General features: G+C 48.3%; 1 protein-coding gene across 3 annotated transcripts, besides 1 other annotated feature; it reads left to right on the top strand.

Annotated features, from left to right (window-relative positions):
• Positions 1-4,453: 4,453 nt before the first annotated feature.
• Positions 4,454-13,147, top strand: DUSP26 (dual specificity phosphatase 26). 3 transcript variants are annotated; one of them, NM_001305115.2, is made up of 4 exons: positions 4,454-4,812; positions 6,889-7,182; positions 10,730-10,944; positions 12,265-13,147. In NM_001305115.2, the coding sequence occupies exons 2-4, from the start codon at positions 6,962-6,964 to the stop codon at positions 12,462-12,464; spliced, it is 636 nt and encodes a 211-aa protein (NP_001292044.1). In that variant the 5' UTR covers positions 4,454-4,812; positions 6,889-6,961; the 3' UTR covers positions 12,465-13,147. The 3 variants fall into 3 exon arrangements, with proteins under 3 accessions (NP_001292044.1, NP_076930.1, NP_001292045.1); NM_024025.3 differs by having other exon boundaries at positions 6,886-7,182; NM_001305116.2 differs by lacking the exon at positions 4,454-4,812 and having other exon boundaries at positions 6,718-7,182.
• Positions 6,288-6,788: an enhancer, noted in NCBI's record as "H3K4me1 hESC enhancer chr8:33455207-33455707 (GRCh37/hg19 assembly coordinates)". NCBI's record gives its function as "activates a minimal SCP1, AML or CMV promoter by ChIP-STARR-seq in naive H9 embryonic stem cells {active_cell/tissue: H9 hESC(naive)}" and the evidence as "EXISTENCE:reporter gene assay evidence [ECO:0000049][PMID:30033119]".
• Positions 13,148-23,325: the final 10,178 nt, after the last annotated feature.

Raw genomic sequence — 23,325 nt, 5'->3', positions numbered from 1 at the left:
GTTCTAGGTTGAAATCCATGCTCAAATTCTACTCATTAGCTCTCTGGCCTCAGAGCGGATTTACCACCAGCACTCTAAACCTGTTTCCTCAACAGTAAAATTGAATTAATTAAATCTATTTATGGGATTGAATTCGCTAATGTATGTAAAGCCCAGCCCATAATTAAATGGTAGCAGTTAGAATTGACCTTTAACATATGCCATATTTTGATGGTCATTCTTGTTTTTTCTTTTTTCCCACATTCTATTTTTGAACACCTCCCTGTCTGTATATTTATTTAATCATTTCTTTCAGAACTATTTTGAAATCTATTTTTGTCTTTTTTTTTTTTTTGAGTCACCCAGGCTGGAGTGCAGTGGCACAATCATGACTCACGGCAGCCTCAAACTCCTGGGCTCCAGCGATCTTCCCACCTCACCCTCCTGAGTAGCTAGGACTACAGGTGCTTGCCACCATGGCCAGCTAATTCTTTATTTTTTGTAGAGTCATGGTCTCACTATGTTCCCTAGGCTGGTCTCCAACTCCTGGCTTCATGAAATCCTCCCACCTCGGTCCGCCAAAGTGTTGGGATTACAGGCATACGAGCTGCAGTTCCTGGCCCTATCTTTATCTTTCCATAGCCTTATTTTTCCATCTCTAATCTCTTCATCCCAGCATAGTGTATCCATTCGTGCTTCTAGTACGGGCAATATGAATTTAAATAAGTGTATAAATAAGTGAAACAAATATAGCTCATAGGTCCTTTGATGGAAGTGTATATGAGCACAAAGAAGGAAACGGACAAATAAGAGTGGATCCAGGCTGGGCACAGTGGCTCATGCCTGTAATCCCAGCACTTTGGGAGGCCGAGGCAGGCAGATCACTTGAGGTCAGGAGTTTGAGACCAGCTTGGCCAAGATGGCGAAATCCTGTCTCTACTAAAAATACAAAATTTAGCCAGGCACGGTGGCACACTCTTATATCCCAGCTACTTGGGAGGCTGATGCAGGAGAACTGCTTGAATCCGAGAGGTGGAGGTTGCAGTGAGCTGAGACTGAGCCACTGCACTCCAGCCTGGGTGACAGAGCAAGACTTCATCTCAAAAAACAAACAAAAAAAAGAGTGGATCCAGGCCGGGCACGGTGGCTCACACCTATAATCCCAGCACTTTGGGAGGCTGAGGCAAGTAGATCATGAGGTCAGGAGCCCGAGACCAACCTGGCCAACTTGGTGAAACCCCGTCTCTACTAAAAATACAAAAAGTTAGCTGGGCATGGTGGTGCATGCCTATAATTCCAGCTACTCAGGAGGATGAGGCAGGAGAATTGCTTGAACCCAGGAGGCAGAGGTTGCAGTGAGCTGAGATCATGCCACTGCACTCCAGCCTGGGCAACAGAGCAAGACTTGGTCTCGAAAAAAAAAAAGAGTGAATCCAAAAAGGCTTTACAGAGGAAACGATTCTCCAGCCTAGTCTTGAAACACTGAAGTTTCAAATAAGATAGCCCTGGGTTTGAACCTGTGTCCTGCCACACACTAGATGTGGATGAGTTAACTAATCTGACCAAATGTCAGTCTCTCTCAGGTATTCAATCAGAATGATGACACCAATTTAATATATGGGTGAGATAAAATGAGCTGATTGGCAGGGCATGGTGGCTCTGGCCTATAATCCCAGCACTTTGGGAGGCTGAGGCGGGCAGACCACCTGAGGTCAGGAGCTTGAGACCAGCCTGGCCAACATGGTGAAACCTAATCTCTACAAAAAATACAAAAATTAGCCAGGTGTGGTGGCATGCACTTGTCATCCCAGCTACTCAGGAGGCGACACACAAGAATTGCTTGAACTGGGGAGGCAGCAGTTGCAGTGAGCCAAGATCACACCACTGCACTCCAGCCTAGGAGACAGAGCAAGACTCTGTCTTAAAAAAAAAAAAAAGAAAAAAAAATCGCCAGGCATTGTGGCATGCACCTGTATAGTCCCAGCTACTTAGGAGGCTGAGGCAAGAGGATCGTTTAAAAGAGGATGGTTTAAGCCCAGGAGGTTGAGGCTGCAGTGAGCTATGATTTTACCACTGCACTCCAGCCTGAGACCCTGCCTCAAAAAAAAATCAAAAAAACAAACAAAAAAACAAAACAAAACAAAACAAAAGAAATCAAGTGGGCTATAGATCGACTCATGAAAATGATCCTCACGGATATGTCAGTCCCCAGGTAATTTCTATAATTACCCATAAACAGCTGTACACATTGTCTGTGGTGTACTTTAAACTGTATTTTCCCCGCTTTTTGAAAAAAGTGTAATGCAGGGTTGAAACAGAGGTCTTGTCAAAGATTGAGATCAGCTTTACCTACAACATCCTCTCAACCTACCAATCTTGAAGACTTTTCACTTAAAATGACATTGATCTTCACCTGAGGTCGGGAGTTCGAGACCAGCTTGGCCAACATGGAGAAACCCTGTCTCTACTAAAAAATACCAAATTAGCCAGGCATGGTGGCACATGCCTGTAATCCCAGCTACTTGAGAGGCTGAGGCAGGAGAATCGCTTGAACCCGGGAGGTGGAGGTTGCGGTGAGCTGACATTGCACCATTGCACTCCAGCCTGGGCAAAAAGAGCAAAACTCCGTCTCAAACAAACAAACAAAAAAAAGATATTGATCTTGTAAGTGCTCTTTCACAATTCCTTTTATGATAATGTTTTAACTAGGTTTGCAAATTAAATCCAAATTTTAATTTGGATGCGCAAATTAAAATCTCAAATTTCTCAGGTCAATTCCTTGGGGTTTTTTGTTGTTTGTTTGATTGTTTATTTTCGCTTTTGTTTGTTTGTTGAGAGGGAGCCTCGCTCTGTCGCTCAGGCTGGAGTGCAGTGGCATGATCTCAGCTCATTACAACCTCCACCTTCCATGTTCAAGTGATTCTCCCACCTCAGCTTCCCAAGTAGCTGGGACTACAGGCGCCTGCCACCACACCCGGCTAATTTTTGTTTTTTAGTAGAGATGGGGTTTCACCATGTTGGCCAGGCTGGTCTCGAACTCCTGACCTCAGGTGATCTGCCCACCCTGGCCTCCCAAAGTGCTGGGATTACAGGTGTGAGCCACCATGCCCTGCCTCTTTGTTTTAAATGACAAGGATTTCATTTCATATTTAAACTGCTGTAACACAAGGGACAAGGAAAAGTGAAAAGAATTTTGTTTCTCTAGAGAAAAAAAAAGGCTAGGCGGTACATTAAACTTGGATGGCAGCCTGTCATGGAACCTGGGGATTGGTCACATTGGCCAGTACTTTCTCTAACCCAGAGATCAAAACCTGATCTGCCACCACTGCTGGGAATGGAGTCAGTCCTGGTTTCAGCTATAGCTGACACCATCAGCTTCAATCTGAGCCAATCTACTTTCTGCCTTTCTTCTAGTAGACAGCGAGAGTTCAAGCCAGCCTAGTTCTCAACAGCATCATCTGCTAACATTTATCATCTCCCCCACTTCCCTCTCACACAATAAGGTAGGCACTGGGGAAGGTAGCACAGTCCCTGCCTTCAAAGTGCTTACAATCTTGGTGCTTACAATAAAAATGCCGATCAAGTGAATATGTCACTAGAAGGCAGCACATGAGAAATTAATATGAAGATGGCCGGACACAGTGGCTCATGCCTGTAATCTGAGCACTTTGAGAGAAGGTGGGTGGATCACCTGAGGTCAGGAGTTCAAGACCAGCCTGGTCAACATGGTGAAACCCCATCTGTACTAAAAAACAAACAAACAAAGAAAAAATATATACAAAAAATTAGCCAGGCATGGAGGCGGGCGCCTGTAATCCCAGCTACTTGGGAAGCTGAGGCAGGAGAATGGCTTGAACCTGGGAGGCGGGTTACAATGAGCCAAGATTGCGCCACTGCACTCCAGCCTGGGCGACAGAGTGGGACTGCATCTCAAAAAAGAAAGAAAGAAATATGAAGATGAATGTTTTGAGAGTCTGGGGAAAGTGAAGTTCACTATGAGCTGAGCTGGTGGAAATGGCTTCCTGAATGAAGGAAATCCATGGTGCCTTCTCCATTTTGTGGGAGGCACTGGTTTAGAGAGTGGTTAAGGACATAAACTGCAAAGCCAGGCTGCATTGTTTGAACAAGCTCAGCTCTGCCAGTAACGAGCTGTGTGACCAGGGCAGAGTACCTAGCCTCTCTGTGCCTAGGTCGCCTCCTCCCTAAAATTAGGACAATAGTAATTATGTCTCCCTCATAGACTTGTGGGGAGTATAAAATGCCTTAAGCTAAATGAAGCACATGGCATATAATGAAGGCTAATGGGGGCTTCGGACCATTGTTCTTTATGACACGGTTTCTTGAGACCGAGGCATGTACAAGCCAGTGCACAGAATCGTGTCTATGTAATTAGTTAATTCTGTCTGGGAGGAGTGTGTGTGTTTAAGACAGTGCCTGGGATGACTTATAATGTAATCTTTAGGCAAAACGCTTTGTAATTGGTGCAGCTCTGAGAACACACGCATGCATTCCAGGCGGTGCTGCTGGGGCTCGGCGGGGCCGTGTCTGGTCTGCAAGGCGCGCGGGCTCGTGGGGGGTTGGCTGGGGAGCCCACGCTGCCTGGCGACTCGGGCCACCGAATGTGAGACCGAGTCCCTTTATGTCACCAGCGCACACGCTGATTTGAACCCTGCTTCGACGTGTGTGTCATGGCTTAAAAATAGCTGCTAATCTGTCAACCTGTCTTGGGCAGAAACAGCGGCGGCGACAGCAGCAGGAGCGTCATGGCCGTGGCGCTGTCTGCGCCGGCGATCCGCCTTTCGGACTGAGGCCCAGCGCAGCGCTTGCAAAGAGGTAGAGGGGCTGCGGCGGGCCTTCGCCTTTTCAGCTGGCTCTCCACGCTGGGGAGAGGCGCCCAGCTAGGGGCGACGGGGGAGGGAGGGGACCGGGAAGCGGGCACCCGAGCCCAGCGAGCCAGCCTCTCTCTCCCGGGCGCCCTCCCTCCGCGCGCGGGGCCCGGCTGCCAGGCTGGCGAGGACTGGGGCGACAGCCATGGACCTGTTACAAAGGCGACCGCAGGCGGAGGGAGGGAGCGGCGGGCCAGGGCCCCTGGAGCCGACGGATGGGATTGGAGAATGCCCAGGGCTGTATCCCTGGACAGAAAGGGGCTTCTGCATCCCCCGGGAAAAACAGCCCCACGGAGATCCTTCTTAGACCTGGGCTCCTTCACGCTTCCCCCATCCCATTCATCATCTCGTAGACAGCAGACTCTCTAAGAGGAAAGGTTGTATTGCAATACAGTAATGGGGTCTTTAGGCCTGGGTGCAAAGGTAGAAGAAGATGATGGTGATAGTGATGGTGGTGATGGTGGTAGTGATGATGGTGATGGTGGTGGTGATGATGGCTGTAGTGCTATATTTCTGTGCTCCTTCCGGACCCAGCCATTGAAAACTCTCTCTCCCTAAACTCCCTAACATCCAATCTTCCCTCACCAATCCTGGTCCTAAAACCCCTGCTTCTAATGCCTTGTAAGTGCTTGGTTTCTCTTGGCACTGGAGCAAGGGAGAGCTGGGCCCTGTCTAGGGGTGTGAGATGGGGACAGAGCATGGGCAGGGACAAAGATGGCCTCTCACTGCTGGTCATAGAGTTGAAGTCCCCCTGGCAGGAGGCCAGGAAGGGAGTGGAAGGGGATTCTGCAGGCTCCAGGACCTCCTGCTTTCAAACAGGCAGGACCACAGGTGTGAGAGGATGGGGAGGGAGGGGGAAGGGGCCTTGCCATTGTTGCCTCCCTGCCTGAAGGTCCCAGGGCAAGCCTCAAACGCTGGTCCTTCCCAGCTCTGCAGCTCAACAGGTAATCTGAGACACACCTGCTAAGCCCCTCGTTATTGACCTCGTGTTTTGTAGGGTCACTTGACTCCAACAGCCATACGGTTGGTAATTCTAAGCCTCTGAGCCCCTGGACCTGGCAGGATCCCTCATTTTTCCCTTTCCTTCCTGCTTTCTAGGCCCCCACCACCCACCCCTGTCCCCCCTCCCCTCAAGACACACACAGACAAAACACTCCAACCCTGCGTCAATTCCCCCACCATCCACCTCTGTCACCCTCCCCTCAAGACACACACAGACAAAACACTCCAACCCTGCTTAGATTCAGAAATTCTCACATTAGAGCTGAGATCTGATCAGTAATTTCCTAATGCTGATCCAAGGAGGGTGGTTTGCCTGTTGTGCACATAGATTGGTGCCTTCTTCCATAAGCTCATGCATTCAGCAAGTATTTATTTTTTGCAAACTTACTCTTCCTCTTTATTGCTATTCTCCACTCACCCCATCCCACCCCCACCACACCCTTCCCATAGCAGGTTTATCTCTGAGGCAGTGGCAGGTCACGAAGGGGTTAAAGTCTAACTCTGGCACAGAGATGGCAGGCCTGACATGTGTCATGGCCTCAGCTGCTGTTGTCTCCCTGCTAATTCTCTTTGGATGGGTCTAAAGGTACCCCCAACCCCATCCCAGCTCCCTAGGCTCTCTGCCGATAGCCCCAGGCAGATGAGACTCAGATTCCAGCTGGCAAGATCCCCAGCAGTGGGGACAACCACCCAAGTGCCGTGTGTGTGTGTGTGTGTGTGTGTGTGTATGCGTGCTGGCAGTGGGGGTGGGGTGATGAAGCTGAAACCTAGCAGCTGGGCAGCTCCCTCTCCCCGTAAACAAGGACATGTGACTCTCCCACCTCGTTTCGTGGCAGAGCCAAAGAGCTGAGCAAAAGGAGCTGCTGCAGCTTGAAGAAAAAGCCACCCCTGAAGGCTCCTGCCAGAGCCAGGCTTACCTTCTCTCCCTCGAGAATCTTCTCCCGAAGGACCAGCCCAGGGAAGGGAAGCAGCTGCTCTGGACTCACTCAAGTGTGTCTCACACCCCTTCCTCTTCCAGCAGCAGCTACCTGGCAACTGAACCCATCATCACCACAGCCACTCCTGCAGCTGCCACGGTTTCTGCCACCTCTAAGATGTGCCCTGGTAACTGGCTTTGGGCTTCTATGACTTTTATGGCCCGCTTCTCCCGGAGTAGCTCAAGGTCTCCTGTTCGAACTCGAGGGACCCTGGAGGAGATGCCAACCGTTCAACATCCTTTCCTCAATGTCTTCGAGTTGGAGCGGCTCCTCTACACAGGCAAGACAGCCTGTAACCATGCCGACGAGGTCTGGCCAGGCCTCTATCTCGGAGACCAGTATGTATCGGGCAGACTGGGCCCACGGTAGAGCGTGTGTGTGTTTGTGTGTGTAAGAAAGGAGAAGGGTGGCAGACAGGTATGCAGTGGTGTCATTGGTTCCTGGTTGAAGATTGAGGGGATAGGGCACATGGGCCAAGAGTAGAGGCTGCAGGTTTGGGAGAGTTTGGCCAGGATTATTGAAATGCCCAACTCTGGCCAGTCACAGTGTCTCTTGCCTGTGATCCCAGCAGTTTGAAAGGCTGAGGCAGGAGTATCTAGAGTACAGGAGTTCTAGACCAGCCTGAGCAACAAAACCAGACCCCATCTCTACTTATTATTTTAAAATAAAATAAATAAAATAAAAATACCCAAGTCTGGACAGAAAGACTCTGTTCCAGTAATAATATCATTCATGTATCACATATTTATTATTACATGCCAGTGCTACATACCAGGCACAATAGATGACTTCTCTGACCTTCCATCTATTGTGCAATGTCTCTGGGAAAAGGCAGCCACTGGAAGCCAGGAGCAGTAGGTAGGAAGCTGCAGTGGTTTCTCTTGAGACCAAGCAAAGCGGCAGTGCCTACAGAGATTCTGCAATTTGAAGGCTATGGAGAGAAAAACATCAAAGGAAGAGCCATCCCCACTTCTCTCCCTCAAAGTTATACAAGGATTTCTTTTGCTTCTTTGGTTTGTTTTGGTTTTGGTTTCTTTCTTTTATTTTTTTTTGGAGACAGTATCACTCTGTCACCCAGGCTGGAGTGCAGTGGCGCGATCTTGGTTCTCTGCAACCTCCACCTCCCGGGTTCAAGCGATTCTCCTGCCTCAGCCTCCAGAGTAGCTGGGACTACAGGCACACACCGCCTTGCCCGGCTAATTATTTTTTTGTATTTTAGTAGAGACGGGGTTTCACCGTGTTGCCCAGGCTGGTCTTGAGCTCCTGAGCTCAGGCAGTCCACCTGTCTCGGCCTCTCAAAGTGCTAGGATTATAGGTGTGAGCCACCGTGCCCAGCATTGTTGTTGTTTTTGAGACAGGGTCTCACTGTTGCCCAGGCTGGAGTGCAGTAGCCCAATCTCAGCTCACAGCAAACTCCGCCTCCCGGGTTCAAGCAATTCTCCTGCCTCTGCCTCCCAAGTAGCTGGGCTTACAGACGCCCATCACCACACACAGCTGATTTTTGTATTTTTAGTAGAGACGGCGTCTAGCCATGTTGGCCAGGCTGATTTTGAACTCCTGGCCTCAAGTGATCCACCTGCTTCAGCCTCCCAAAGTGCTGGGATTACAAGCATGAGCCACCGTGCCTGGCCTACAAGGATTTTTTTCACACACATTATCTCTCTTAATCTTCACAACAGCCCTGTGAGATAGGTATCACTCTCCCTGGGTTACAGATGAGGAGACTGAAGCTCAGAGAAGTTGTGCCTGGCCAAGGTCACACGGGTTGTAAGTAGCAGAGCCCGGGCTTGGAGGCTCAAGTTCAGTGCTCTTTCTGCTTAAGGAGTTTGCACTGGACAGGGCAACTCAGTTTGCCCTGAGATATGACTGTGGTGCCCAGGGGTGTCTGCCACCAAGCTGAGGGGTCTGGGCCGGATGAACACCTGAAGGTGACGTCATAAAACAGGGTAAATGTGGCCGGGCATGGTGGCTCACATCTGTAATCCCAGCACTTTGGGATACTTAGGCGGATGGATCACGAGGTCAGGAGTTCAAGACCAGCCTGGCCAAGATAGTGAAACCCCGTCTCTACTAAAAATACAAATATTAGCCTGGCATGGTGGTGGGCACCTGTAATCCCAGCTACTCGGGAGGCTGAGGCAGAGAATTGCTTGAACCCGGGAGGCAGAGGTGGCAGTGAGCCGAGATCGCGCCACTGCACTCTAGCACTCCAGCCTAGGTGACAGAGCAAGACACCATCTCAAAAAAAAAAACAAACAACAACAACAACAACAAAAAAAAACACAGTCACAGTAAATGTGAGCCATGGAATATCTGGCAAAAACACAAGACGGTTCTGGGTGTCAACAAGAGTAGAGACATAGGGGAGTTAGGTGTGGAAGTGGATGTCAGAACCATACTATCTCAGAGTGAGCAGGACCGATGAAATGAGCAGAACAATCTGCCTGACATTCATTTCCCCTCTGCAGCATCCATGGCTACATGGCCATCTCCTCTTTCTGCCTGAATACCCCAGGGACAGGAAAACCACTCTCTCTCGAGGTTCTCCACCCTTTCCTCAGCTAGACTCCACCATTAGAATGTACTTCCTTGTATGAAATTGAAATCAGCTGGCCAGGCACAGTGGCTCACGCCTATAATCCCAGCACTTTGGGAGGCCTAGATAGGTGGATCACAAGGTCAGGAGTTCGAGACCAGCTTGGCCAACACGATGAAATCCCATCTCTACTAAAAATACAAAAATTAGCCGGGCATGGTGGCAGGCACCTGTAATCCCAGCTACTCAGGAGGCTGAGGCAGGAGATTCGCTTGAACCTGGGAGGCAGAGGTTGCAGTGAGCTGAGATTGCACCATTGCACTTCAGCCTGGGAGACATAGCAAGACTCTGTCCCACCTCCCAAAAAAAAAAAAAATGAAATCTGCTTCCCTGGGGCTTTAATTCCTTGATCCTCATTGTACCCTTGAGAACCCTACAGATCCAAGACAATCTCAATTCCAGAAAACACACTTTCAGTTTTGTTTTGTTTTGTTTTGTTTTTTTTGAGATGGAGTCTTGCTCTGTCACCCAGGCTGGAGTGCAGTGGTGCGATCTCGGCTCACTGCAAGCTCCGCCTCCCAGGTTCAGGCCATTCTCCTGCCTCAGCCTCCTGAGTAGCTGGGACTACAGGCGCCTACCACCACACCCAGCTAATTTTTTCTATTTTTAGTAGAGATGGGGTTTCACCATGTTAGCTATGATGGTCTTGATCTCCTGACCTCGTGATCCGCCCGCCTCGGCCTCCCAAAGTGCTGGGATTACAGGCGTGAGCCACCGCGCCCGGCCGCACACTTTCAGTTTTATTATGGCTATTTTTACCCCATCCCCTTAGTCTTCTCTTCTCCAGGCAAAACATCCCCTATACCTTCAACCATGGCTCACAGGACAAGACTCCAAGTCATTGCCCATCTTGGTTCCTCCCTTCTGGATCACTAGTAAGTAAAGTAGTGTCCTTAGGCCAATAGTAGGATCCAGGAGGCCAGGCATGGTAGCTCACGTCTGTCATCCCAGCACTTTGGAAGGCCGAGGCGGGAGGATAACTTGAGGTCAGGAGTTCAAGACCAGCCTGGCCAACATGATAAAACCCCATCTCTACTAAAGATACAAAAATTATCCGGGTATAGTGGCATGTGCCTGTAATCCCAGCTACCCGGGAGGCTGAGGCAGGAGAATCGTTTGAACCCAGGAGATGGAGGTGGCAGTGAGCACTCTGGCCTAGGAAACAGAGCGAGACTCCATCTCAAAAAAAAATCAACAATAGGATTCAGGAAGTTAACAGGGTGTAGACAAGGGAGTCTTCCCCAACAACCTGGCTTTCCCACCCTTCCTCTAACCTCTACTCAATGCAGGGACATGGCTAACAACCGCCGGGAGCTTCGCCGCCTGGGCATCACGCACGTCCTCAATGCCTCACACAGCCGGTGGCGAGGCACGCCCGAGGCCTATGAGGGGCTGGGCATCCGCTACCTGGGTGTTGAGGCCCACGACTCGCCAGCCTTTGACATGAGCATCCACTTCCAGACGGCTGCCGACTTCATCCACCGGGCGCTGAGCCAGCCAGGAGGTAGGAGGGGAATGCTGGGAGCAGGAAAGAACAGGGTGCCTGGAATTTGGGGAAGTCCAAGGGTCTGAGAGTGGAGTGAGATTTTAGTGACATGACAAAATGCTCAGGATCTTGTTAAGAAAGAAAAAAATATTATCTCAACCATTTTTTTAAAGCAATACAGAAAAAGACAAGAAGGAAATTATCAAAAATGTTAAGAGTGGCAAGTTACACCTGGGTGGCAAGATTATATGTGATCGACTTTTTCTTTTTTGTTTTTTTGAGATGGAGTCTTTCTCTGTCACCCAGGCTGGAGTGCAGTGACGTGATCTCAGCTCACTGTAACCTCCGCCTCCCAGGTTCAAGCGATTCTCCTGCCTCAGCCTCCCAAGTAGCTGAGATTACAGGTGTCCGCCACCACATCCAGCTAATTTTTGTATTTTTAATAGAGACATGGTTTCACCATGTTGGCCAGGCTGGTCCTGAACTCCTGACCTCAGGTGATCCACCCGCCTCGGCCTCCCAAAGTGCTGGAATTACAGGCATGAGCCACTGCACCCAGCCAGCAGGAGGATTTCTTAAGCCCAGGAATTAGAGGTTGTAGTGAGCTATGATTGTGCCACTGCACTCAGCCTGAGAGGCAGAGCAAGACCCTGTCTCCATATACATATATATATATTCAATGGTTGAGAATAACAAGCTAGAATGGTGGAGAGATTGAGGAAGGGGCCAGTAATGACAGTGTTTTCAATGGACTCATTCACGCTACTCTATGCAAAGCTGGCTCTTACATCAGTGGTGAGTCTCCACCTTTGACCCCTTTCAGGTTTATGGACACTGAGCCACTGCATGTCCCCTTCCTCTCATTCTGTCCAGGCCTCTCCCCTTTTGCCAGAGATCTGCATTCCTAACATCCACTCATCTGCACCCATTCCTGTCTTCATGCACCTGTACTTACCTGTCTTCCTCTTCCCTGTCCATGTCACCCTTTTTTTTTTTTTTTTTTTTTTTTTTTGAGATGGGGTTTCACTTTTGTTGCCTGGGTGGAGTGCAATGACACGATCTTGGCTCACTGCAGCCTCAGCCTCCTGAGTAGCTGAGATTACAGGCATGGGCCACCACGCCCAGTTGATTTTTGTATTTTTAGTAGAGATGGGGTTTCACCATGTTGGCCAGGCTGGTCTCGAACTCCTGACCTCAGGCAATCTTCCCCCTTCGGCCTCCAAAAGTGCTGGAATTACCGCCGTGAGCCACCATGCCCGGCCCCATGTCACCCTTTCCCCAGCCTCCTCCAAGCTGCCACAAGCAGTCTCAAAGCTCTCTCTGTGTCTCTCCTCTCAGGGAAGATCCTGGTGCATTGTGCTGTGGGCGTGAGCCGATCCGCCACCCTGGTACTGGCCTACCTCATGCTGTACCACCACCTTACCCTCGTGGAGGCCATCAAGAAAGTCAAAGACCACCGAGGCATCATCCCCAACCGGGGCTTCCTGAGGCAGCTCCTGGCCCTGGACCGCAGGCTGCGGCAGGGTCTGGAAGCATGAGGGGAGGGGGAGAGAGGTCAGGCCAGGCCCGTGGGTAGGTCCCTGGCTCCCAGCTGGAGATAGGAGGCCCAGGTGGCAGGTAGCAGGAGGCCCAGATCACCCATCCTCCCCTGGGGTCAGGAGAGGCCGAGCCCCAGGCCACTGTCACTCTTTGTGGGAGGGGACGGGGAGTGAGGTTGGGCAGTGTGGTGGATGGGCACCCAGGAAGGGTTGACCAGGGAAGGAGGCAGCTAGGCTGTAGATGGAAGATGGTCCTGGGATTCGAACACCGCTGGGATCTGGCCAGGGTGCTCCCTGGGATTCACAGTCCCTTCCCCTCTTTGTGCCCAAGTGTTTCCCTCTCTCCCTCACCAAAACAAAAGGGCCATCTCTGCCCTGCACTTGTGCAGAAAGTCAGGGATACGGCAAGCATGAATGCAATGGTGTAGAGTTGTGTGAAACCCCTAGCATAGAGACAGACAGCGAAGAGATGGTGTGAAAAGCTTGCAGAACCAGACAGAGAACCCCACAGACTTTCCACTCCAAGCACAGGAGGAGGTAGCTAGCGTGTGAGGGTTGGCACTAGGCCCACGGCTGCTGCTTGGGCCAAAAACATACAGAGGTGCATGGCTGGCAGTCTTGAAATTGTCACTCGCTTACTGGATCCAAGCGTCTCGAGGATAAATAAAGATCATGAAAAAGAAGAGAGTTTCTTGAAGTCATTGACAGTTTGAAAGAGTTCTAGGCCTCTCTCCTGGGAACCCCAACCTTGCTGGAGAAAAGAACAGTCGTGACTCCCTCGTATCCTCCACCAGCCTTCAAACCTCCACCAGTTCTTCTGGTGCTATTCTCCCAAGTCCAATTTCATGCTCCTACAGCGATATATTGGGCTGTTGTTTCCAGGTAGTCCACAAAGGGGCAGCAGAGGACCAGAAAGTTCAGGTTTGCAACAAGCTCTGCTGCTGTTCAGAGGGCACACCCTGTACCTTCCCAGCTTTGAAGAAGTCTCTAGACCCGGCGCAGGGGCTCACGCCTGTTATCCTAACACTTTGGAAGGCCGAGTGGATCACCTGAGGTCAGGAATTCAAGACCAGCCTGGCCAACACGACGAAACCCCATCTCTACTAAAACTACAAAAATTAGCCGGGCACGGTGGCGCACGCCTGTAATCCCAGCTACTTGGGAGGCTGAGGAAGGAAAATCGCTTGAACCTGGGAGGTGGAGGTTGCAGTGAGCCGAGATCGCGCCACTACATTCCAGCCTGCGCGATGGGAGCGAGACTCCATCTCAAAAAAAAAAAAAAGAGGTCTCTATTCACACACCTGGGTGTTAAGAAATATAATACCGCCAGGCACGGTGGTTCATGCCTATAATCCTAGCACTTTGGGAAACCAACGCAGGCCAATTGTTTCAGCCCAAGAGTTTGAGATTAGCCTGGGAAACATGGCGAGACCCCATCTCTATAAAAAAATTAAAAAATAGCCAGGCGGGGTGGAGCATGCCTGTAGTCCCAGCTACTTAGGAGGCTGATGTGGGAGGATCGCTTGAGCCCAGGAGGTTGAGACTACAGTGAGCTGTGACGGCATCAAGGCACTGCAGCCTGGGCAACAGACCAAGGCCATGTCTCAAAAAGAAAAGAGGCTGGGTGCGGTGGCTCATGCGTGTAATCCCAGCACTTTTGGAGGCTGAGGCGGGTGGATCATTTGAGATCAGAAGTTCGAGACCAGCATGGCCAACATAGTGAAACCCTGTCTCTACTAAAAATACAAAAATTAGTTGGGCATGATGGTGCACACCTGTAATCCCAGCTACTAGGGAGGCTGAGGCAGGAAAATCGCTTGAACCCAGGAGGTGGAGATTGCAGTGAGCGGAGATCACGCCACTGCACTCCAGTCTGGGAGACAAAGCTAGACTCCCTTTCAAAAAAAAAAGAAAAGAAAATACAGGGGGACCAAAAAAAAAATCACTTAATATAGCTGTATGTCCAGTCCCAAAGTACAGAACTCAGAACATTAAAGTTGGTAGGTGCCTTCATAGATTATCCATTTCCACTCTCCTCAATCATGGTCTTGCTCTGTTGCCCAAGCTGGGTTGGGGTGATCTTGGCTCACTGCAACCTCCGCCTCCTAGGTTCAAGCGATTCTCCTGCCTCAGCCTCCCAAGTACCTGGGATTACAGGCGCCACCATGCCTGGCTAATTTTTGTATTTTTAGTAGAGATGCGGTTCCACCATGCTGGCCGGCTGGTCTTGAACTCCTGACCTTAGGTGATCTGCCCACCTCAGCCTCCCAAAGTGCTGGGATTACAGGTGTGAGCCACTTATTCAGTATTTTTGATAACAGTCATCAAGCATTTGCTCGAACATCTTTGAGAATAGGAAACCACTACATAATTTCCACACCATCCCACCAGCTCTAAATTTTAGAAAGCTCTGCCTTGTATGCACATAATGCAATCGTGTTATGGTGGTGCTGAGAGGAGGTTGAAAGATCTGACCAGCCAGGATTCCTGGGCTGACTGTAGCACACGCCAATTAGGGGAGGTGACTAAGTCACTTACTTCTTCCCCCTCTGTTTACTGGCAATCGTACAGCAGACTTCCATGGGATTGTTGTGATCATTTAATTACATAAGAGGCTGGGTGCATGGTGGCTCACGCCTGTAATCCCAGCACTTTGGGAGGCTGAGGTGGGCAGATCACTAGAAGTCAGGAGTTCAAGATCAGCCTGGACAACATGGTGAAACTCTGTCTCTACTAAAAAAAATACAAAAATTAGCTGGGCATGGCGGCAAACACCTGTAATCCCAGCTAGTCGAGAGGCTGAGGCAGAATTGCTTGAACCCAGGAGGTGGAGGTTGCAGTGAGCCAAGATGGCACCACTGCACTCCAGCCTGGGTGACAAGAGTGAGACTCCATCTCAAAAAATATATATAATATAAAATAGATAAGAGACATAAAGCCCAAACATCAGTATTTAGTAAGTGTTCTTTCACTAGTTCAACTATCGTGGAAGACAGTGTGGCAATTCCTCAAGGATCTAGAACTAGAAATACCATTTGACCCAGCCATCCCATTACTGGGCATATACCCAAAGGATTATAAATCATGCTGCTATAAAGACACATGCACACATATGTTTATTGCGGCACTATTCACAATAGCAAAGACTTGGAACCAACCCAAATGTCCATCAATGATGGACTGGATTAAGAAAATGTGGCACATATACACCATGGAATACTATGCAGCCATAAAAAATGATGAGTTCATGTCCTTTGTAGGGACATGGATGAAGCTGGAAACAATCATTCTGAGCAAACTATCTCAAGGACAGAAAACCGCATGTTCTCACTCATAGGTGGGAATTGAACAATGAGAACACTTGGACACAGGAAGGGGAACATCACACACCGGGGCCTGTCGTGGGGTGGGGGGAGGGGGGAGGGATAGCATTAGGAGATATACCTAATGTAAATAACGAGTTAACGGGTGCAGCACACCAACATGGCACATGTATACATATGTAACAAACCTGCACATTGTGCACATGTACCCGAGAACTTAAAGTATAACTTAAAAAAAAAAAGAGTGTGCATCGAAAAAAAAAAAAAGTTCTTTCTCTTCTTCCCTCCCTGTGACAGCCCTTCCCGTGGTTTGAAGCCAGCTGTCAGGGTTCTGTGTCCTCCTACTTTTAGCCTAACAGCCACGATTGTTTTCAATCGCCTGCATTTGTCATATTTTAAATTGCCAACATTGGCATTCTTTTCCAACTACGGCAACTGAAATTCCAGATCTCACAGAATGTATAGTTCTCAATGCTCCAGGCTAGACCTATAAGATAGGAGGCCAGCAAGATCTATTTACTGGCTGTGATCTCAAAATGTGGTCACTGTTAAGGGACACATTTATTAACTGGCATTTAAAAATGCCAGTTATCTAAGGGAGAGAGTGAGGCCTTCATTAGAAATGTTGACTCTCGGTCGGGCACGGTGGCTCACGCCTGTAATCCCAGCACTTTGGGAGGCCTAGGTGGGTGGATCACTGGAGGTCAAGAATTTGAGACCAGCCTGGCCAACATGGCAAAACCCCATCTCTACTGAAGAAATACATATATATATGTAAGTTTGGCGTGGTGGTGCATACCTGCAATCCCAACTACTCAGGAGGCTGAGGCAGGAGAATCACTTGTATCAGAGAGGTGGAGGTTGCAGTCAGCTGAGATCGCACCACTGCACTCCAGCCTGGATGACAGAGTGAAACTCTGTCACAAAAAAAAAAAAGAAAGAAAGAGAGAGAGAGAGGGAAAGGAAGAAAAAGAAAGAAAGAAGGAAGGAAGACAGAAAGAGAAAAAGAAAAAGAGAGAAAGGGAGAAAGGAAGAGAAAGAAGAAAGAGAGAAAGAGAAGGAAGGAAAGAAGGAAAGAAAAAAGGAAAGAAGGAAAGAAAGAAAGAAAGAAAGAGAAAGAAAAAGAAAGAAAGAAAGAAAGAAAGAAAGAAAGAAAGAAAGAAAGAAAGAAAGAAAGAAGAAAGTAAGGAAGAAAGAAAGAAAGAAAAAGAAAGGAGGGAGGGAGGGAGGAGAGGAGGGGAATGTTGACTCTAATTAAATGCTTTGATTCGCTGTCAGACCATGGGCCAAAGGACTTAAGTATAACTAAAAAGAGCCCTCAAATCACTCAGGCTCTTAGAAGGACTGACTGTAATTATGATCTCACCTTCTTTTTCCTATTGCTCTTTTTATTTTCTTAGAGATAGTCTTGCTCTGTCACCCAGGCTGCAGTGTAGTGGTGTCATCATAGCTCACTGCAGCCGTGAACTCCTGGGCTCAAGTGATCCTCCCACCTAAGCCTCCCAAAATGCTGGAATTACAGGTGTGAGCCACCATGTCCTGCCAGTTCTCATTTAGAAAATATATACTTACTAATGTAACCTAACAGCCATAACAATATCTATCCAGTCTGAATGGTTTTAGACTCTTTGCATGCTGAATAACTTCAGAATTTAATTCTAACTTCTAGTAGGGAAGTATTGCTACTAAAGTATATTTGAGGCCTGGCGCAGTGGCTCATGCCTGTAATCCCAGCATTTTAGGAGGCTGAAGCGGGCAGATCACCGGAGGTCAGGGGTTCAAGACCAGCCTGGCAACATGGCAAAACCCCATCTCTACTACAAATACAAAAATTAGCCGATGTGGTGGCACAAGTCTGTAATCCCAGCTACTCAGGAAGCTGAGTCACGAGAATTGCTTGAACCCAGGAGGTGGAGGTTCCAGTGAGCAGAGATCACACCACTGCACTCTAGCCTGGGCAACAGAGTGAGACTCCGCCTCAAAAAAAAAAAATTATATTTGACCAAAGAACAACTTCCAGATTATCCTCATAAAACAGTTTATACATTTTTATTATTTAACAAAGACATATTATGGCTATACCCAGGCATTCTTCTGTCTTTATAGATATCAACTCATTTAATCCTCATAAAAGCCCTGTGAAGTAGGTATAATTGCAATTGCTTAGGAATGGGCAGATTAAATTTGCCTAATTTGCCCAAAGACACAAAATAGTAAATAGAAGAGCTAGGATTTATACTTGGGTTCTCAGACTCCAGAATATATATATAAATATATATATTTATATGTATATATATATTTATATTTATATATAATTAATATATAAATTTTATATATATATATATCATCATCCTACTATGCTTTGCCTTCAACTCCGCCATCTCAAGTTGTGTGTGTGTGTGTGTGTGTGTGTGTGTGTGTGTGTGTGTGTGTGTGTATTGGGGGAGGGAGAAGAGGACTTGCTACTCAGACTTCAGACTGGGAAGCCCCACTCTTACTAGCTCTGAGAGCTTACATCTGGAGATATCAAGTGACTGAAGATTTCCCTATCTTTTCTAGAGATTGCCACTCTTCTAGAGGGATCTATATAGTTCAAGGGGAAGAACTGAGAGGCCACAGCCTGGGTGTCACATAGATAGAATCAGTCCTATCCTTCCGGGGGGCCAAGGGTGACACCTGTCACAAATGAGTCTTACTCCCACCTCCAAAACCAAAATTAAAAATCCAGCCAGCCTCCCCTATCCTGCTCTTGAGCAGTTAATCATTTGATCCCAAACAATGGACCACAGCATTAATAGGAATAAACGTGCTCTTGTATTCAGCCTGTGCTTCCAGCCCATGGAGCCTCAATGCTCCAAAATTGAGATCCAAGTCAATCTTGTCATCCTACCCCTTCTTCCCTTATCACCTCCAGCCACCAACTCTGCAGTGTTCACTCAAATCCTTGAGCAGACCCCTGGAGCCTTTGCTTTCTCTGGGAAGGTGGAGGGATGTTTGCCCAGTCCTTCACCCCTGTAACTAATCCCAGCTGGGAAATTCCACAGGGATGCAGCTAAGGGAAAACTACTGATTCTGAGCCCCAGTGTGGCAGATGGAGCTGGAAATACACAGGTAGGCAGCTCAGAATTATGCTGGCTATAGTGGGTTCAGCATTGCTGCACCAAAAGGCCCCTGCTAGAAACGGATCCCTTAAAGAAAAGGACTGAATAGAAGAAAAATGGTCCAGATTATAAGGAAAGATAAAGCCTGTTTATCATAAGTTTCTGTCCTTATTACTTTTTTTTGAGTGGGATGAAGAGGCAAGAGATTCAAAAGTTTATGAGAAAGCCCTGTTCACACCCAAATCCCTAGAACTTGCGAATATGTCCCTTTAGCTGACCAAAGGGACTTTGCCCTTGATTAAAATGACAACCTTGAGATGAGGATATTACCCTGGAGTATCTGAATGAGCCCAATCATAGGAATCCTTCAAAGTAGAGAACCAGCTGGGCGCAGTGGTTCACACCTGTAATCCTATCATTTTGGGAGGCCAAGGCACGAGGATAGCTTGAGGCCAGGAGTCTGAGACCAGCCAGGGCATCTCTACAAACAAACAAACAAACATTTTAAAAATTAGCCAGGCATAGTTTTAAAAATTAGCTAGGTTAAAACCATTCCTAGCTAATTTTTAAGATGTTTATTTGTTTGTAGAGAGGGGTCGAGTCTCCCAAGGCAGAGGTGGGAGGATCACTTGAGCCCAGGAATTCGAGACTACTGTGATCTATGATCCTGCCACTGCACTCCAGCCTGGGCAACAGAACAAGACCCTGTCTCTATAAAAAAAAAAATTAAAATTAAAAAGTGGTGAACCTGTTTTGTGGTGAGAAGTTTGATGTGAGAAGGGCTGGACCCCCATTTGCTGGCTTTGATGAAGAAGAGGGGCAGTGGCTCACACACATAATCCCAGCACCTAGGCTGAAACGATCTGTCTGCCTTGGCTTCCCAAAATGCTGGGATTACAGATGTGAGCCACCTAGGCTCACCTAGGCCCCATTTGCTGGCTTTGATGAAGAAGAGGGGCAGTGGCTCACACACGTAATCCCAGCATGTTGGGAGGCTGAGGCGGGTGGATGGCTCGAGCCCAGGAGTTCAAGACCAGCCTGGGCAACATAGCGAGACCCTGTTTCTATGAAGAAAAAAAAAATGTTGTGCAATGGAATACTATTCAGCAATTAAAAATGAATTATTTAATAAAAAAGAAGAGGGGCATAAACTAAGGAATGTGGGTGGCCTTTAGAAACTGGAAAAGGCAAGAAAGTGGATTCTTCCCTCAATCCTCCAGAAAGGAACACAGCTGAGATCTAAACTCTAGCCTTTTTCCTGTCTTGCCCAAATTCCTTTTTTTTTTTTTTGTTTTGGAGATGGAGTCTTGCTCTGTCACCCAGGCTGGAGTGTAGTGGTGTGATCTGGGCTCACTGCAACCTCCACCTCCCGGATTCAAGCAATTCTTGTGCCTCAGCCACTCGAGTAGCTGGGACTACAGGCACACGCCACCACATGCCACCACTTGAGGCTAATTTTTTGTATTTTTAGTAGAGATGGGGTTTCACTATGTTGGCCAGGCTGGTCACGAACTCCTGACCTCAAGTGATCCACCCGCCTCAACTTCCCAAAGTGCTAGGATTACAGGCGTGAGCCACTGCGCCCAACCCCAAATTCCTTTCTTAGGGGCCCCAGGATTCACCTTCTACAAATCGTAAAATCTCATCAGGTGGGTTTTATTTAACCCTATATAACACGGCTTACTTTCCAACCTGACTCTGGCACAACATCACATGAAAGGCAAAGAAGGAAACAGTCAGGTGCAGAGGCTAACGTCTGTAATCCCAGCACTTTGGGAGGCCAAGGCGGGCAGATCGTTTGAGCCTAGGAGTTTGAGACCAGCCTGGGCAATATAGGAAGACAAAAAATACAAAAATTAGCCAGGCATGATGGCGCATACCTATAGTCCCAGCTAGCTGGGAGGCTGAGGTGGGAGGATTGCTTGAACCCAGGAGGCAGAGGTTGCAGTGAGCCAAGATTGTGCCACTGCACTCCAGCCTGGTCAATAGAGTGAGGTGATGTCTCAAAAGAATAATAATAATAATAATAATGTCTATTAACTAGATCTTTCCTCTTCCAGACCCTCCCAATCCTGAAGAGATTAGCTAGAGTGTAGCATCTTTTAAAGGTCTAAATAGGAAACATTTGCCATTTATTGTCTCTAAGGGCAGCCACCTATAAGACTTCATCTACATAATAACTCTCATTTCTGCACACCCTTACCTATACTCAGACACCACTTTCTGTTGATTCCAGGTCTTTAGATAATAACTCTTTCAACCAACTGCCAATCATAAAATCCTTGAATCCACCTGTGACCTGTAAGCTCTGCTTCGGGTTGTCCTGCCTTTCCAGACTGAACCCATGTGTACCTCACATATACTGATTGATGTCTTATGTCTGTATAAATCCAAGCTGTAACCCAATGACCTTGGGCACATTTTCTCAGGACCTCTTGAGACTGTCCCTTTGGCCATGGTCATTCATATTTAGCTCAGAATAAACCTCTTTAAGTATTTTACAGAGTTTGACTCTTCATCAACACAGCCCTACTGACAGGCTTGATTTTAGCCCAATGAGATCTGTGTCAGACTTCTGACCTACCTAACGAAGAGAATAAATTTGTGTCCTTTAAGCCATTAAGCTTGTGGTTATTTACTACAGCAGCAATAGGGATCTAATATGAGTCCCTTGACTAACCATGAAGACCTTTCTCCATGGAAATCTAGACAAATGACAGAGCTCATCTCTAACATGGTTTGAGAAATTGGTCATTGGTGAAGCAAAAGTACATGGAGAAGGATGTATCTGTCAAAGGCTTTAAACCAGGGCTTGCAAACGAAAAGCCCAAGAGCAAAGCCTACAGAAGAGGGTGTTTTGTTTTCTGTACACTGCTTCAATAACTAGAAAACTTAATATGAAATGTGGGGTTCTGGTTTCTCTTAAAAAGCTGAAAGGGAGGCCAGGTGTTGTGGCTCATACCTGTACTCCCAGCACTTTGTGAGGCCAAGGCAAGAGGATCACTTGAGGCCAGGAGTTCAATACCAGCCTGGGAAACAAAGAGAGACTCTTGTCTCTACAAAAAACAGAAAAATTAGCGGGCGCGGTGGCACATGCCTGTAGTCCCAGCTACTTGGGAATCTGAGGCAGGAGGATGGCATAAGCCTAGGAGTTGGAGGTTGCAGTGAGCTGTGATCAAGCCTCTGCACTCCAAGCTGGGTGACAAAGCAAGATCCTGTCTCAAAAAAAAAAGTTATTCATCTTAAGAGTTCATCTGAGTTCTTCATCTTAAGAACTCAGGCTAGGCCAGGTGAAGTGGCTCACCCTGTAATCCCAGCTCTTTGGGAGGCCAAGGTGGGCAGATCACCTGAGGTCAGGAGTTCAAGCCCAGCCTGTCCAACATGGCAAAACCCCGTCTCTACTAAAAATACAAAAATTATCCAGGCATGGTGGCACACACCTGTAGTCCCAGCTACTTGGGAGGCTGAGTCATGAGAATCAACTGAACCCAGGAGGCAGAGGTTGCAGTGAGCCGAAATCACGCCACTTCACTCCAACCTGGACAATGGAGTGAGACTCCACCTCAAAAAGAAAAAAGGGAACTCAGGCTAGTTCACCTTCTCTCATCTTCTCCCAATCCCCACTCCTCTCCCAGCCATTCTAGGAATGCTCTTAGTTTTTGGGCAGTGGTTTCTGGACTTCAGAATGGCCTAAGATTTTGTTTTCCCTGATACAGCAGACACTTAAGCCCCCAGCTGGATTCCCACCCAGCAACTGGAGCCAGGCTGGGAGAAGGTAGCTAACACAGGCAGGCCACTCAGGAAGGAACTTTGGAAACAAGTGGATAGAGGCCAAGCCCTGTCCTTGGGAACCAGAGAGGGAGATGTGTTTATCAGTTCCCAGGCAGGCTTCTTTCTGAAGGTCTGCCCAGGAAAAGGCCGAATGCCCCCTCCTCCTGGGTAACTTTCCCTGAAGCAGTTTGTGTTCTGGAGAGATACCAAGATGAATTCAGGCCCCTCCTCTCTGGCCTCCGGAGTTTACTCACAAACTGAGTTTGGGCTGGGTAAATTCATATCCTCAGTCTATAACCTTGACGGAGCCTGAGCTCTTGATTCCAGTCCAAACCAATGGCAGCCTACAAGAGGACAAGGCCAGAGGGTGAGTAAAAACATTAACCTGGGGAGAGAGGCAGAGTCCGCTCCAACAATCTGCAAGTCCAACACCAGGAGAGAGGTGCAGCGCAGAGGTCGGTGGGGGGATGCATACTAGCAACCCACAACACTCCATCCCAGCCCCACCGCACTTTGGCCCCTGGTCCCGGAAGGAAGGGGACCGTCGCTTGCATTAGGAGAAAGGAGAGGTATGCCCCTTCCTCATGAGGGGTGAAAGGAAGTGACGTGAGTCTGGATAGCCAGAGCATTTTCCTCGGCCAATGCAGGCCAAGTACAAAAAGCTCA

The sequence above is a fragment of the Homo sapiens genome, chromosome 8 (assembly GCF_000001405.40).
Source record: "Homo sapiens chromosome 8, GRCh38.p14 Primary Assembly".
NCBI lineage: Eukaryota > Metazoa > Chordata > Mammalia > Primates > Hominidae > Homo > Homo sapiens.
This window is presented reverse-complemented; position numbering and strand designations above follow the sequence as displayed.

Excerpts from the sequence above, each read along its gene's own strand:
- DUSP26 (NM_001305115.2), top strand. The coding sequence starts at position 6,962 with ATGTGCCCTGGTAACTGGCTTTGGGCTTCTATGACTTTTATGGCCCGC. Across the intron at positions 7,183-10,729 it reads GGCCTCTATCTCGGAGACCA|GGACATGGCTAACAACCGCC; the intron begins GTATGTATCGGG and ends TACTCAATGCAG. Across the intron at positions 10,945-12,264 it reads GGCGCTGAGCCAGCCAGGAG|GGAAGATCCTGGTGCATTGT; the intron begins GTAGGAGGGGAA and ends CTCTCCTCTCAG.